The 16,586-nt window shown below is 42.3% G+C and overlaps 3 pseudogenes; 2 read left to right on the top strand and 1 right to left on the bottom strand.

The window, feature by feature from the left end:
- On the bottom strand, window positions 4,535-5,688 carry LOC391136 (RNA binding motif protein 3 pseudogene; annotated as a pseudogene).
- LOC100422549 (solute carrier family 5 member 4 pseudogene) lies at window positions 11,259-11,879 on the top strand (annotated as a pseudogene).
- LOC100422548 (solute carrier family 5 member 4 pseudogene) lies at window positions 15,654-16,246 on the top strand (annotated as a pseudogene).

Here is a 16,586-nt window from a genome sequence, read left to right as displayed (position 1 = left end):
TCAACAGGCCAAACTTTTGCTAACCAATCTATAATAATAAACAGCCTAGAGAAGAGAAGCAAATCTATAAAAATGAGGAAACTAAATATTTTCTTGTCTATAAGGCAACCAAGAGTATGCAAATATTATTTTACTAAGAGCTTATGATATTCTTGGAAGACAATAAGGAGGCAGAGATTATTTCCCCTGTTTTGCCTGGGAAATGAAGCCAGTATTGAAAAGGTGACTTGGTAAAGGTCATTAAACAAGCAAAGTGCTTCTGAGATTCCCATGCCCTGGGAAAGCTGAAACACTCTCCTGCTTTCACTTTCCTTGTTTTCTTTTTTTCTCTTGTCTTTTCCTCTCATTCAAAAGCAAACTTTAAAAAATTAGCATCAATTCAACAATATTTAGTGTGTGCTTGTTCGATACAAAGTATCATACAGGACAAAAAACGGTCTAAGACAGTCCTTGATTTAAAGGAGTAGTTAAAAATCACTGTTCTAGCCTGGATCTTCATAGCTGCTCAGCCGCTTGTTTACCATTTACCATGCATATTTATCTGCTAAGATAACTGTTTCAAAACTCCTTTTTCTTAAAGCTCCCAACTTCAACACTGCTCCTTTGACTCTTGACCTTGCTTGCCTTTTTTTTTTTTTTTTTTTTTTTTTTCAGATGGAGTCTTGCTCTGTCTCCCAGGCTGGAGTGCAATGGTGCAATCTTGGCTCACTGCAATCTCTGCCTCCCTGGTTCAAGCAATTCTCCTGCCTCAGCCTCCTGAGTAGCTGGGATTACAGGCGCCTGCCACCACACCCAGCTAATTTTATATTTTTAGTAGAGACGGGGTTTTGCCATGTTGGCCAGGCTGGCCTGGAACTCTTGAACTCAGGTGACCCACCCTCCTTAGCCTCCCAAAGTGCTGGGATTACAGGCGTGAGCCACCATGCCCGGCCTTGCTTGCCTTTTTTACTGAATATTTTGAAGCTACCTTAGGAGTTTTCTTAACTTCTCTATTTTCAAAATCTCTTTTACTTCCTTCCCTCTTTTCCCCAAGAAAGGATCCTCTAATCATCTTGCTAGAACTCATCTCCTATAGTCTCAAACACTGATTGTCCCACATTTGCAGGGTATCACCCCACCATTATTTCTTCCTCAATTTGCATTTTCAATCCTACTCTCCCAGTGGCCTCTTCTTCTCCATTAGTAAATATAAGTTGGTTATTTCTGATGTATTTCTGATGGTACCTGCCCCCAGTACCACTTCAAGCTGCAATGTACTGTGTCTTTTCCCTTACAATTAAATTTCTTGGAAAAGGAATCTGTAATCTGTAATTTCACTAACAAATAAACTTTTATAATATGGCTTTTGCTTCCATAATGTTACTGAAATACTTCGTGAAGAAAAATAAAAGCATGTGAGTCAACAAATCTAATAGCTTTTTCTAGTCTTTGTTCTCACCCTTCCCGGTTTCTCTGAAGTTTTTGATGCAATGACTACTCTTTCTTCATCTTCTTTTATACTGCCTTATCTTCATTGTTTTTCTCTCTACCACTCTGACCATTTCCCATTGACTGCTCTTCATCTTCCCACTGCTAAATACAGACATTCCTCTAGCTTTTGCCTTTTTCCTTACATACACTCTTTCTTAGATTCCTCTTCATAGAGATGATAACTGAAGCTGAGGATTCTCTTGCTCTGAGAATTCCAACAATCTCTCCAAAGAAAGTACATGTAAAGAAAAGGGCAGTATATTCTCACTTATAAGTGGGAACTAAGCTATGGGTACGCAAAGGCCTACAGAGTGGTATAATGGACATCGGAGACTCAAAAGCAGGGAAAGTGGAAGGGGAGTGAGGAATAAAAAAACTACGTATTGAGTACAATGTATACTACTCTGGTGACAGGTGCACTAAAACCTCAGATTTCACCACTATATAATTCATCCATATAACAGAAAACCACTTGTATCCCAAAAGGTGTTGAAATATATATATGTTATAGCTTTATATATATATGTATTATATATAATTTAAAAAATAAAGGGCAGACATTTTAAAATGTTTTTAATTGACACATAATAATTTTACATATTTATGGGGCACAGTGTGATGTTTCGATAAATGTATACGTTGTGTAAAAATCAACAAATCAAATCAGGATATTAGCATACCCATCACCTCATTTATCATTTCTTTCTTTCTTTTCTCTTTTTCTTTTTTTTTGAGATGGAGTGTCACTCTGTTGCCCATGCTGGAGTGCAGTGGCCCCATCTCAGCTCACTGCAACTGCTGCCTCCAGGTTCATGTGATGATCATGCCTCAGCCTCCCAAGTAGCTGGGATTACAGGTGCCCACCACCACTACTAATTTTTGTATTTTTAGTAGAGATGGGGTTTCACCATGTTGGCCAGGCTGGTCTTGAACTCCTGACCTCAAGTGATCTGCCCACTTTAGCCTCCCAAAGGGCTGGGATTACAGCCGTGAGCCGCCGCGCCCGGCCACATTTATCATTTCTTTGTGGTGAGAACATTCAAAATTCTCTCTTCTAGCTTTTTTGAAATATACAATATTGTTAACCATGGTCACCCTACTGTGACTAGAACACCAGAACTTACTCCTTCTAACTGTCACTTTGTACTTTTTGACTAATTGCTTCCTATGCCCCCATTCCCTTTCCCCTCCTCAGCCTCTGGTAACCACTATTCTATTCTCTACTTCTGTGAGATAAACTTTTTTAGATTCCATACATGATTGAAATCATGTTTGTCTTTCTGTATCTGGCTTATTCCACTTAGCATAGTGTCCTCCAGGTTCATCCATGTTGCCACAAATCCACTACTGGGTATATATCCAAATGAAATGAAATCAGTATGTGCAAGAGACATCTGTGCTCCCATGTTTATTGCAGCATTATTCACAAGCAGCATTATTCACAACAGCGTATAGAAGCAACCTAAGTGTCCATCAACAGATGAATGGATAAAGAAAATGTAGTACTTATACACAAAGAAATACTATTCAGCCTGTGAGGAGGAGAAGAGCTCCAGTTCCTTCAGGACCCTCCTGAGGGAGCACCATGGCAGCTTCAGGAGGACCTGGGGCAACATCCCGGGGAAGAAACAGCTCCTGTCTGTGGGCGCAGATGCTGAGGAGGAAACTTTGGTGTGGATTCTCTGGGGCATTTTTCCTACCTCGTCCATACATGTTGCTGTAATGACATGATTTCATGAATTTTTAAGGCTGAAGAGCATTCCATTATGTATATATACTGCATTTTCTTTATCCTTTCCTCTCTTCATGGACAGAATCTTGCCTCAAGAATATGAAAATGTTGTGGAGTCCTGATAAGTAAGCAACAATGAGGAAGGGGCCTCGGGTGGGGAAGGGCCCCAGGTGGGGAAGAACAATGAACAACTGTTCTGAGAGATGACCTCTATGTGCAGCCCCCTCTAGCACAACCCTATAAAACTTCCCTCCAGCCCCTGCCTTTTTGCAGACAGCCCTTCTCTGCTGTGCTACCTGTTGCAATCTTGCAATGTATTTTCATATTTTCTCTAATAAATCTGCCTTTCTTTACCTACAACTATCTTGGTAAATTCCTTTACCACCTGCGACACCAGCCCAGCCCCAGATAGTCACACCTGTGATGTTTTGGTGGCCCGTACAGGGACTGTTCGGGGACCTCTTCCCCTACTCACTCCCTTTCCTGTCCTCCAACTCTGACCTCTTGGTGACAGCATCCAAGCACCGAGACAGCTGAAGGTCCCCAGCCGGGGCCACTCCTCGGCAGACCAGAAAGTCCCTGTGAAAAGATGTCTGACCACCACTGCCTGATCAGGTAAGAGTTCAGAGTTTGCTTTCCTTTCCTGCCTTCCAGCAGACAAACTCTAGCATCCCTCTGGCAATTGATCACAACTGGCCAGGCCCACACCTTGGTGTAGCCTGAAGGCCAGAGGGTGAAAGACTTTGGCTGCCTTACCCAGAAGGGAGGAAGACCCTCTCCTATCCTTTCTGGTTAAAAGTCCCCAATCCCTTTGTGTGGCACAATTGGCACACATGTTTTGGGGAACTCAGACTCCCTCTTTCTCACTCTAAATTCTAAATTCTCCCATGAAGACAGCCAGACATCCTGCTCTGGATGTTCCCAAATCAGGTGATCTCAAGTGGCCTCAGAGCAGTGAGTGTCCCCATTCCTGTTCCTTCTCCAGGGCTGGCAGCAGGCTGTCTTTCTCTCTTTACCCTTTTTCCTCATGCCTGGGCTGATCACCCAGCATAAGGTGCCAGCGCTGAAAGGTCCTTTCTAATGGGGGTGGGATGCCCCTTTAGAAAGTGTACTTGTATCCCTCTGCAATGTAAGTGGAACCCTTTTCCTCAGCAGGATGCCCCTAAAGAAAGTGTGGTTCGTGTCCCCAGCAGACATTACCCTCCAGTGGCTCATTGTTTTCCAGTTCCAACATGGACAAACCCCATCTATTTATTCAGACTCACCTCTGGGCTACATCCTAAAACATTAAGACAAATTTAACTCTCAGACTCTCAAAAAGAAACACCTAATTTTTTTTTCTGGTTTCAACTTTTTAATAAGCTCTGTGAAGGACATCCTAAGCACTATATGAGACAAAACAATATTTTTTCTTCCAGTATTACAAAAAGACATTTGCAAACATTTTAAAGCGGCTCTTCTATATAATCAGTTTGGTTATCTGAATTAGAGAAAACCCCTAGATAATCATGTTCTTGATGCAGATTTCTTCTAGGTATATTTGGAAATTGCTTCCTAACCACAATAAACACTGTGTACAGGTTTTTTAAATGTCCCTGGATACACACTAATTTTCAAAAACCAGTCTGGTCAAATGTCAGAACCAATTATTGCTAGATCCAATAATCCTGACAGCTCAAACTAAAAAACTGGCAAAAAGAAAAATACTCCGACCCTACAAATGTTCCATAATTTGTCTTTAAATAGGAGAAAAAATTTTAAACAAAGATGGAGCTGTCTAAAAGATCTTTAACTAGCTACCTTGGGAGCTCAATTTAAAAACAAGAGGTTGATATACTATAAAATAAGATGTTTCAGTACAGCTCCAAAAACCTTTATAAATACAGCCATTTGGAAGGACAATCCTGGATCAGAAGAGCTATTCCTTGTGTATATTATGTGCACATGTCACATTTCAGTTGTCATAATTGCTTCTGTAATTTCCTTCTGAGTAGCAGTCATAACTACCCTGGCTTCTGACATTATAGTCTCTGGACTGTCCATATCCATATCTATACCCTCCAGGTCAACTGTCATACCTGCCACTCCCATAGTCCTGGTTCCCACCACCTCTAGAGTAGCTGTGACCACGCCCATGGGCCCCAAAGTCACCTCCTCTGGTTCCCCAGCAGACTTGCCTGCATGATCCACGCGGATCTGGTGACCATCCAGGGACTCTCTGTTCATGGCTCTCATGGCGTCTGGGTTGGTGATGGTGATGAAACCAAAACCCCTGGACCACTGAGTCTCCTTGACAATGACCACCTCAGAGACAGGCCCGAAGCTGCTGAAGTCGTCTTCCAGCACCTGCTCGTCGGTGTTAATGTTGAGCCCTCCCACGAAGATCTTTCCTTCTTTAGTGGACATGGCAGCGAGTTCAAGTCCTGGAAATTAAAACTTAAAAAAGCCAGACAGACAGTAAGCTCAGAGGTGCAGAAAAAATAGGGCACATCTAATTTTCTTGTGTCATATATTAACAGCATGGCCCCTTTGCAGGAAATTCTCAAATTAGCCTCCTCAGTCTTTTATAACTGAGAGCAGAATAAAAAGGACAGGGCTAACGGGAAAGAAAAACACAGAAAACACAAGGAGAAAAGGCAGGCTCAACTGCTGGCTGCTTTATGAGCCCCCAGCCCAGTCTGGGTTGCCCTCAGAATATCCTCCAGGTAACTGCCATCAGTGCAGAAGGCCAGGCCACTGAAAGGCAAACTGTCCCAATGGGACAAATGGGGAAAAGCCTTACACAGTTTGCCCCCTCGGCCACAAGCTTGGCCACTGGAAATGGGACTGCCCTAAGGGCTGAAGGGCCCCCAGGACAGAATCCCATCAGACACCCCTGATGGCCTTCTGCTGGGGTAGGGGTCTCTGCTCCAGCTGGCTTCCAAATCAAACATCATTATCAATAAAACAAAGCCAAGGGCAACTCTGGAGGCAGCAAGTAAAATTATAAATTTCCCTTTTGAGTTCAAAAGCTGTCTGTCATGGAGACACCTCCTCTACCCCTTTCTGGAAATAACCTTTTGCTTATATGGTAAAAACCTGGAAAATTACTATCTGGATGTTAACAGCCTTTTAGATTGGGTCACTATTGGAACTGGGTAGACCAATAAAAGAAAAAGGTTAAATTAAAAGAAGGATGCATAACAACAACATGGCTAGTCTCAGAAAGTTATCTTGAGCAGTTAAAATCCTTTGCAAGCTTGAAAATGCTTTAAACTCCTTCTGGAAAAAACAGCAGTCACCTTGTGCTGTAGATAAGTGGCTAAGGCTTTGCCCTCTCACAATGCGTTCAATTCTTGTCTTTCAATGTGAGTCCTTTGTGGTTTAATACTTGTGGTATTTTTGCCCTTTATTGATTCTTTTCCCCTCCATGAACAGCTTCTGATTTCCTGTCTTGAAATTTTCTTTTCTCTGAATTACCTTTGGGGCAATTCTAGATCTTGTAAATCACTGACCGTCTCTTTGGAGACAGCTCATGTGTCTGTGTTTAAGTCTTCTTCTGCGCCGGGCGCGGTGGCTCACGCCTGTAATCCCAGCACTTTGGGAGGCCGAGGCGGGCGGATCAAGAGGTCAGGAGATCGAGACCACGATGAAACCCCGTCTCTACTAAAAATACAAAAAAATTTAGCCGGGCGCGGTGGCGGGCGCCTGTAGTCCCAGCTGCTGGGGAGGCTAAGGCAGGAGAATGGCGTGAACCTGGGAGGCGGAGGTTGCAGTGAGCCCAGATAGCGCCACTGCACTCCAGCCTGGGCGACAGAGCGACACTCCGTCTCAAAAAAAAAAAAAAAAAAGGCTTCTTCTTAGTTAAGGCTTACTAATATCATGTTATAAATTACCTTTAGTAAAAGATTCAAAAGCCAGAAATACTAGCCATTTGTCCTGACTGAAATCTGGTAATAGTTAGAAATCAACTTAAAGCTTATATTTGGTCTGCATGTGTACAGATATTGGTTTTTAAAGCCCCTGCTTTTGCTCTAAAAACTTCTCAGTTGATAGAATTTTGTCTTAATTCTCCATTTCTGTCTGTGTATTTTTATGTGTTTATATAAAAGAATTCTAATTGGCTTAAAGAAAAATAAGCACTTAAACATATTGTCAGAAAAATAAAAATTTAATGCCTTTTAGGTCACGTGACTCTAATACGACTCTTTTAAAAAGCCAGTTTAAAGATTATTGGTAAGGTAAATAAAAGATGTCTTCAAAGTTCACACACTTAAACTAAATTAGGCAGTCAGATACTGTTTGTCAGATGCTTTAAGGCCATAAACTGCTTCTATGACTTTTAATAATTGACTTGTTTGTTTTATAGCCATTAGATTCTAGGTAAGGCCTGGGGACATATGGTGTTAGCCTGGTCCCCTGGCTAGTCTGGAAAGAGTCAGACATTATCTGCAGCTTGTCCTGAGTTCTGCAATCTTATACATGGTTAAAATTACTCATGAGGGCCAGGCACCGTGGCTCATGCTTGTAATCCCAGCACTTTGGGAGGCTGAGGTAGGGGGATCACGAGGTTAGGAGTTTGAGACCAGCCTGGTTAACACAGTGAAACCCTGTCTCTACTAAAAATACAAAAATTAACTGGGCGTGGTGGCGGGCACCTGTAATCCCAGCTACTTTGGGGGCCTAGGCAGGAGAATTGCTTGGACCAAGGAGGTGGAGGTTGCAGTGAGCCGAGATTGTGCCATCGCACTCCAGCCTGGATGACAGAGCTAGACTCCGTCTCAAAAAAAAAAAAAAAAAAATTACTCATCAGGTTTTTCACCAAAAATAAAAGTTGCTGAGAGTTAACATTGTAACATGTACTTGAGACTGCTGGAGAAACAGTTTACATGAAAAGTATAGAAGGAAAGTAGAATATGTTTTTGGTGGGAGGTTATAAGGAGGCATGGAAATAGGCCGGGCATGGTGGCTCACACCTGTAATCCCAGCACTTTGGGATGCCGAGGTGGGTGGATCACGAGGTCAGGAGATCTAGACCATTCTGGTTAACATGGCGAAACCCCGTCTCTACTAAAAATACAAAAAATTAGCCAGGCGTGGTGGCAGGCGCCTGTAGTCCCAGCTACTTGGGAGGCTGAGGCAGGAGAATGGCGTGAAGCCTGAAGGCAGAGCTTGCAGTGAGCCGAGATTGCGCCGCTGCATTCCAGCCTGGGCGACAGAGAGCGACTCCATCAAAAAAAAAAAAAAAAAAAAAGAAGGCATGGAAATATGGCTTTTGTTAAAGGGAATGTAATTTTGTCTTGCTCAGAGGTTTTAAGGATTGGCCTAACCTACAGGAGTAATGGAATAAAACTGAAGGTTTAAGCAAGTTAGATAGTAAGTTGTGGAGGGCTGATCTTGTAAAAAGGTCTGTGGGTATAAAAAAGCTGGCTAAGATTTGAAGGGAATTATTCAGTTTTCCCATAGGTTGAAAATTGAAATAAAAGCACACTAATGCAGGTCCAGAATCTGGGCCCGTGTGTCCAGATAATAGTTTTCTTAGATAATTAATCTGCTGTTTAACAGAAAACGATAAAGGGTTATAAGAGGTTTATGGAAATCTTACCCTATGGTCAAGCTAATAAAGATTGGACAGATTTGTTTATAAGGTTTTGCTAAGAATTGGATTTAACATTAATAGAAAACTAGTACAAAGATGCAATTTGGCTTTCTCTTTTAGACAAGATTTTCATGTAATATAAACAAAAATGAAAGAATTTTGTTTTCCTTTTAAATGAATGACAGAAAAAGGAGGGAAGAAAAAGGAGACAGATTCAGTTGTCCTCATGCTGTCTTTATTGCAGCCTGTTTTGAAAGCTAAGTCTCCCCTCTATCAGCGAGTAAAGATTTTTGCCTTTTAAAAATTTTGGACTTATCATTTTGGCTAAATGACTTATAGTGACTCTGTACTAATCTCCTTCTCTAAACAACTCTCCTCCAAATCCTGTTGGGTAATGGGAACAAGCGGCACCCTCTCCCTCCAAAAGAAAAAGTCACACCCCTTTATACTATGTAAGGGATCAGTTACCATTTTCCCTCCATGCCCTGGTAATATCTAAATACCCCACACTCCTTTGGGGCAAAAACATACTTTCCAAGATGTGTGCCTGCTTAATATTTGCCCAGCCTCTGAATTCACCTTTCCTTCTAGTAGCCCCATTTCTCCTGGGAAAGCTACCTAAATCTTTAACAAATAACTTCAACCTAGATAGTCTTATCTCAGGGGTTTAAAATAGCCCATACTTATTCAGACATGCCCTAGCAAGAAAGCTAACTGAGTAATCTCTTGATGGAACAACTTCTACAATATATAAATAACCTCCTCATTTGCTTCCCTTCCACAGAACTCACACAGCAACACATAGTATAAACCATAAACTCCTAAAAAAAGGAAAATGACTTTTGTCTAATTCAAAGGATAATGGTTATATATAAAACAAGATAAAAGGAACCAGGAAATAAGAGAAACATAAAGAAAGTTATAAAGGTAAAGAGGTATTTTTGGTAATGAAGGTTATGAAGATTTTGCACGAGAAAGGATTTTGTACCATAAATTCTTGTCCTAAAGTAAAATGACTGCTTGTTTAAGAATGAGGGATGTTTAGGACAAGTCAGAAAGTCTGGGCACATCATAGATGGTCTGTGTAAATCATGAGAAAATTTGTGAAATTCATAAAAGGAACACTATATGTAATTAAGATATAATAGTCTTTCTAAAATTGGCTCCCTATGCTGTGTCAAATTAAATTCAAACACTTTTTCATCAAGTGCAACTTCCAAGTTATCTAAATGGGCTTCCAATAAGGAAAAACAGTCATACTACAGAAGGGTTTTCTTTGCCTTTTTGGTAACTGGCTCAAGAAACAAAATTTTATCTTCTAGAATTCAGTAGTTTCACCTTCAAATGGTGCTATGAACAGGATATTGGTATCTCCTCAATGATACCTGCTACCTTTAGGAGTCTCCCACTCAGCTGGAGGCCAGTTTTGCCTAGACATGCTCCCCTTCTCCGATGAATGCTTTCCTTCAGCATGATCCAATATCCTAGGTCCTACAGCCCAGGACAATGGCTCACAGGGTCTCCTGACAGACCAAAACCATAGGTTGGGTCAACTCTATGCCCCTGGTCAGCAGGAAGCAGTTGGAGATGAGACCTCTACCCTAATGCCAAAGATTTGTCATTGCTATTCTGTCATGGGGGAATGTGGATTCCTGATAAGTAAGCAAAAATGAGGAAGGGGCCTCAGGTGGGGAAGGGCTCCAGGTGGGGAAGAATAATAAATAATTGTTCTGAGAGATGACCTCATTCCACACAATGACCTCGTTCTGCACATAACCCCATCCAGTACGACCCTATAAAACTTCCCTTCCACCTCTGCCTCTTTGCAGACAGCCCCTTCTCTGCTGTGCTGCCCATTGCAATCTTGCAACACATTTTCATACTTTCTTTAACAAACCTGCCTTTCTTTACCTACAACTGTCTTGGTAAATTCCTCTACTCCCTGTGACACTAGCCACAGATAGTCGCATCTGGGAGAAACATATCTTCAGTGGTCCAGAAGATATGCTGCCTGCCCCAAGCAGCGGGTCAAAACAATCTGGCCACATAACAGAGTACACACTGGGGAGCAATTCATTGAAGCTTCTGCTGAAGACCTGGTAGGGGATTTTCCAAGTGACAGGTCAGAGAAGGAGGCCTCATCTGTGGTCAGCGTGGACTGAAAAGCAAATGAAAATCTTTCTGTTGAGGACATTCTGAAGCAGCTTCCTTATTACAGGGCATTGGAGAGGGTTCCATGGAAGACCAAGACAGCCTCAAGAACATGGAATACAATTCTCCTCTGGACATCATTTATGAAGGTAGCTATAAGGATGAAGACTCTTCAGCTGCTCCTGAAAGATCTCAGCATAACATCTGGCAAATCAATGGATAAGGAAGAAGATGGTTCCCATACGTCAACTTCATGTAATCTTGAGTGGTTTCTGGAGAATCTCAGCAGTGATGAGGATGATGCTTCAGCTTCCCCTAAGGACCATGTGCACAGTGACCTCATTCTGCACATTCTACAGATCTGAAAAGAAGATGCTGGCAATATATCATCAACTTCAGGGGAAAGTAAGTGGATTCTGAAGAGGATAAGTGATAAGGAGGACTCTCCTGCTCCCTGACCACCTTCACATCACCAGCACTCTCTTCAGTGTGAACCTCTACACCAAGGTCCCTGAGCAGACATCAGAATGAGAGAAAGAGAGATGGAGCTCCTTACAGCTAGAAAGTTATTTCTCATCCTGATAACTCTCATTGCATCATATGGGTCCCATTAGTACAGATATCTCCAAATGGGCCACTCTTCTGTTACATAGAATAAATTGTTCATTACCTTGAGACTCTAATTATAGATTACAGTCCTCCTTGCCATCTACTGTAAAAGAGTCAATCAACAGTGGGCTCCAGGGTCTCACTGAACTTGTGGTCAGCCTTATTCATAGGATCACAGAGTTTACCTATAGAACAGAGAACTGCTTGATGTTTGGTGACTGTCCTAAATAAATAAGTGGAGTGCACTATCTGAGCTTTACCATTTTTGTCTCTTTCATTCTTTTATCCATCCTGGCTAGCCTGGGAATCCCTCTGTTCACTAAACCCATTCCTGTTGTACCTACTGTCAAAACTGTTCAATGTGAATGACATCTTGTGCTGATGAAGATGAGGAGACACCGTCACTCTCCAAAGCTGTTGGAAAGAACCTATGTAAAGGACCAGTGGGACAATTTATCTGCTTTGTTGCTGTTTCATTAATTCACTATGAGGCTATGTGCTTGGGCACCATGCTCTCTGCCTGAGCCCAGGGCACCAGGAGAGGAGCTAAGAGGCCATCTGTGGGGCCGGCCCAGGCCTCTCAGAACAATGGTGATGGTGACACTTGGCTGGAACGCTCCTTGCCCCAGGCTGGCCGCCAGGCCAATAGCTGGGATCATTGACACCTCTGCCTCCCAGCACAAGCCCCAGGCAGGGACCAGTGGACTCCAGAGCACTCACTGCCCAGGGGCCACAGACGTTTGACCTAGCAGGGGTACCTCTTGGCCGAGTCCCTGGTTCCCCCTTGTATGAACCAGCCTGGGGAACTAAGAGCTCCACAGCTGTGGGTATAATATAGTGCCCAGGTCCAGGATTTGAGGTGGGGTAGTGGTGTTGGGGACAGGAGACTGGGGCAAGTTGCCTGTGGACTTCTGAAAGTGAAAAGAAGTCAGGGGAAATGTTTATCTCTGTCCTTGGCCTAATGCCAGCAGTGTAAGCCACAGGCTAGGGATTCCTTTTAAAGCCCATAGTATTCCCCCACCTAAGTCCTAGTATAACCATCATTTCCTTGAGTTCACTTGCAACAGCTGCTGTGCCAAGCACCATGTTTGTATTTGATCTTCACAAACTACTACTGCCTTAAGGCAGTAGTTAGTAGCATTATCCCATTTCACCGCCAAGGAATCTGAGGCTGCGGAATAAATAACGCCCATGGTGAGTGGAGAAGCTAGGACTGGAATCAGCATCTGCTTTTCTCTAGAGCCTGGGATGTTCACCCTGAAGTTGCTCTCCTGCCTTCTCTGTGGTTGGTACTTTCCAGTTACTGTTTGTGCTTTACCAAGAGGAGTTGGCCCTGTTGCCTTCCTCGCCTCTTCCCTTCCTTACTCTGGTGACTGCCTATGGCCAAGAAGAGGGTCTGCAAGACTGTCTCTCTACTTCATGTAAAATGACTGGAATCTTGTGGAGAAATTGTGAAGTGGACTTGGGAACACGCTAAAGAAGCCTATGTTGGGAGCTTGGGGAAAAAGAGTACCCGGAGACACGTACTCCAGTGGAAGCTCTGCCTTCACTGTGAGAACATGCCAGGGCTAGCCTGCTGGAGGGAGACATTTGGAGCAGAACTAAGTCACCCCAGCCAACCTCCAGACCTAGGAGGCACCAGCTGATAGCCAGCTGTTCCCCAGTCCCGTGAGTGAGCCTAGCTGAGACCTGAAGAGCTGCCCAGGCTGAATCACCAACCTACAGATTTGTGAGCTGAAAGGAGAAATGATGAAGAAAGTATTCTTGGAATTCACTTCTGGCAGAGTCTCGTGAGCTTTGCTTTCATTTGTTAATGAAATGCTTGACATCTTTCCTTCACTTTATAAACATTATGTGCACATTATTCAGAATTCTAATAGAAAGTAATTTCCCATTAATGCAGGCTGTAAAATGCCATTTTACTTGAAACCATGCCTCAGGAACAAACAGTACAGGACACATTTACACTTGCAAATTCCACTCACAAATCAAGGAAGCCCCGTGTTGGTGGGACAGAGACTTAGAGCCACTGACAAAGGAAATTTAGAAGAGCAGCCTAGGACAGGCATAGGCAAATAGCATAGTGGCACACAGTTTGCAGCAGTGGAGAATCCAATTATGGGACACTGAATTTTTTTTAAAGCCAACTTTTGCATATCTGTGATCTCTGGCTGACCAGCACCCTTCTAAGAACTTCATCTGCCTAGACACTGAGCTACTGACCAACAAGGGGACAGAAGCACTGACATGCATGGCCTGGATGAGGAAGCCAAAGAATTCACTGTCTTATCGGTGTTTTTCCTTCCAGGTCGAATATATACAGTGTACTTCCTTTGTGACCATTTGCTGACCACACAATGTCTGCAATCATGAATTCTGGAAATAAATAATTCCCAATGATCTTAAAAAAATACACTATGATCTGTGAACTTTAGAAACTGACTTAAAGTAGCAGTAGTTATTTTAGAGAAGGTCATGAATACCATTATGGACCTAGTCCAGCGGTCCAGTAAAGAGAAATATCATGACAGATTTTTAGCAGAAATAAATAGTACCTGATTCAAGTTACAAAAGAATTTCAAGAAGCCCTGAAAGAGTGCTTTCCCTTTTTAAAAAATAAAAGTGGATTTAGTAGAAGAAATGCGATGATTAAGAAACTTTAGAACCTATTATTAGCAATGTTAGTGAGAAGGTGAAATTGTATGTTATTAATAACTGTTACCCTGAAGAAAAAGAAAAAAATAAAAGAAAATACAAAAAAAATTTTTTAAGAGAAAAAAGTTTTAAAAATTTCAAAAAGAAATTGTATGTTAGTTATATCAACAACAAATTTTAAAAGGCAATTACAAATTCTAAAAAAAAATAAATCTGTGCAATAAAACAAGGGCTAAGTATAAAGTTAATTACGATGAACATTACTTTGAGAATATAAGAGATTATAAACATTAAAAAATGATACTTGGCCAGGCATGGTGGCTCACACCTGTAATCCCAGCACTTTGGGAGGCCAAGGTGGCAGGATCACTTGAGTGCAGGAGGTTGAGGCTGCAGTGAGTCATGATTGCACCACTGCACTTAACCTGGGCAACAGAAAGAAACCCTGTCTCAAAAAAAAAAAAAAAATAGTATTTATTTTAAAAAATGATACCCAAAAATATTACCTTGGAACTTCCCAGATGTGATTTTTATTCACTGTGGTCACTCACATGTATGTCTTGGATCTATGGAGAAAGAAATTTACACAATCTTAATAGCAAAAATTCTATTAAATCAATATAGAAACAAAGTATGGACAACTTAATTACAATTACAGAGAACCATTTAAACTCTATGAAAATTAGCCATTTAAAAACAATGTTAGAGTTGGCTAGGTGTGATGGCTCATGCCTGTAATCCCAGCACTTTGGGAGCCCAAGGCAGGTGGATCACCTGAGGTGAAGAGTTTGAGACCAGCCTGACCAGCGTGGCAAAACCTCATCTCTATTAAAAAGTACAAAAATTAGCCGGGAGTGGTGGCATGCACCTGTAGTCCCAGCTACTTGGGAGGCTGAGGCAGGAGAATCACTTGAACCCGGGAGGCAAAGGTTGCAGTGAGCCAAGATCACGCCACTGCACTCCAGCCTGGATGAGAGAGCAAGACTCCATCTCAAAAAAAAAAAGAAAAAAAAAGTTACAGTTGACAGAATTTGGGAGTGGGTTGTGTAAAAAACACGTAAGGATTCCAATTGTTATGGGACCTTGTGAATATTAAGTACATAGATACATAAACATGATAGACCCAGAAATAGAGCTTGAGAAAGCACTTTAAAAGTTACAAACGTAACCACTAGACAAAAGGAAAATAATAATGAGAAATAAGAGTTGGGTAGCACAGGCAAGTAAAATGATTTTGTAATGAACCAAAAATTTTATTTTTTTGAAATTGCGAGTCCCAAAGGAAAAGTTTTAAGTGTATTTTTAGAACTTTGCAGGAAAATACCAAAACTATTATAAGCAGAAACAAAAACTGGAAATCTGTAGCTGAGTAGGTGTGCTGTATTGCCTGTGCTGGGCTCCTTAGAACAGTACAGGGGAACAAATCAATTTACATGCAGAAAAGACAGGATGAAGTAATTTTGGTACTGTGTTATTGCCCGGCACTTCCTATCAAGCATGGAGAAGTATTTTAAGAAGGCTGCCTGCATTCTCTGTGGCCACCTGAAGCTGCTGCCCATGTTTCTCAGGGGGAGGCCAGGGATGATCAGCCCTGATTTGTACAGCCTTCCCAATTGGCCAAGAGAGAAACTGCTATTCTCCCCTTCACATGGAATCCCCTCTGCTTCACAGTTCCTACATTGAGTGGGATAGACTGGGCACCTAGGCCTAAAGGTTACCATCCTCATAACTCTGAACCACATTGTTTGGGTTTCATTGGTACAGATATCTCCAAATGGGTCACTCTTCCATTACGCAGAGTCAATGGCTAGTTACTTTGGGCCTCCATTTTTAGCTATTTTTCTGCGTGTCATCTACTGGAAAAGAGTCAATGAGCAGGAGCCTCTGGGGAATCACTGGATTGTTTTCAGTCCCATTCAGATGATCAGGGAATTCCTTGGTGGCTGGTGACTGTTCTGAGATGGAGTGTGCTGCCTGTACTTCATCATTATGGTCCTTTTTGTGTTCATCCTATTCTGAGAATTTCCCTGTTCACCAAACCCTTTCTTGCTATACATGTGAGCCATGACTCATAAGTAAATGTTAAAGCATGTTCATTTCTAAGAGAAAAGGAAAGAAGGCTGCGTGCGGTGGCTCACGTCTGTAATGCCACTACTTTGGGAGGCCGAGGCGGGTGGATCACAAGGTCAAGAGATCGAGACCATCCTAGCTAACATGGTGAAACCCCATCTCTACTAAAAATACAAAAAATTAGCTGGACATGGTGGCACGCACCTGTAGTCCCAGCTACTCGGGAGGCTGAGGCAGGAGAATCACTTGAACCTGGGAGGCAGAGGTTGCAGTGAGCCAAGATTGCACCACTGCACTCCAGCCTGGTGACAGGGTGAGACT

This window comes from Homo sapiens, chromosome 1 (genome assembly GCF_000001405.40).
Source record: "Homo sapiens chromosome 1, GRCh38.p14 Primary Assembly".
Taxonomy (NCBI): domain Eukaryota; kingdom Metazoa; phylum Chordata; class Mammalia; order Primates; family Hominidae; genus Homo; species Homo sapiens.
This window is presented reverse-complemented; position numbering and strand designations above follow the sequence as displayed.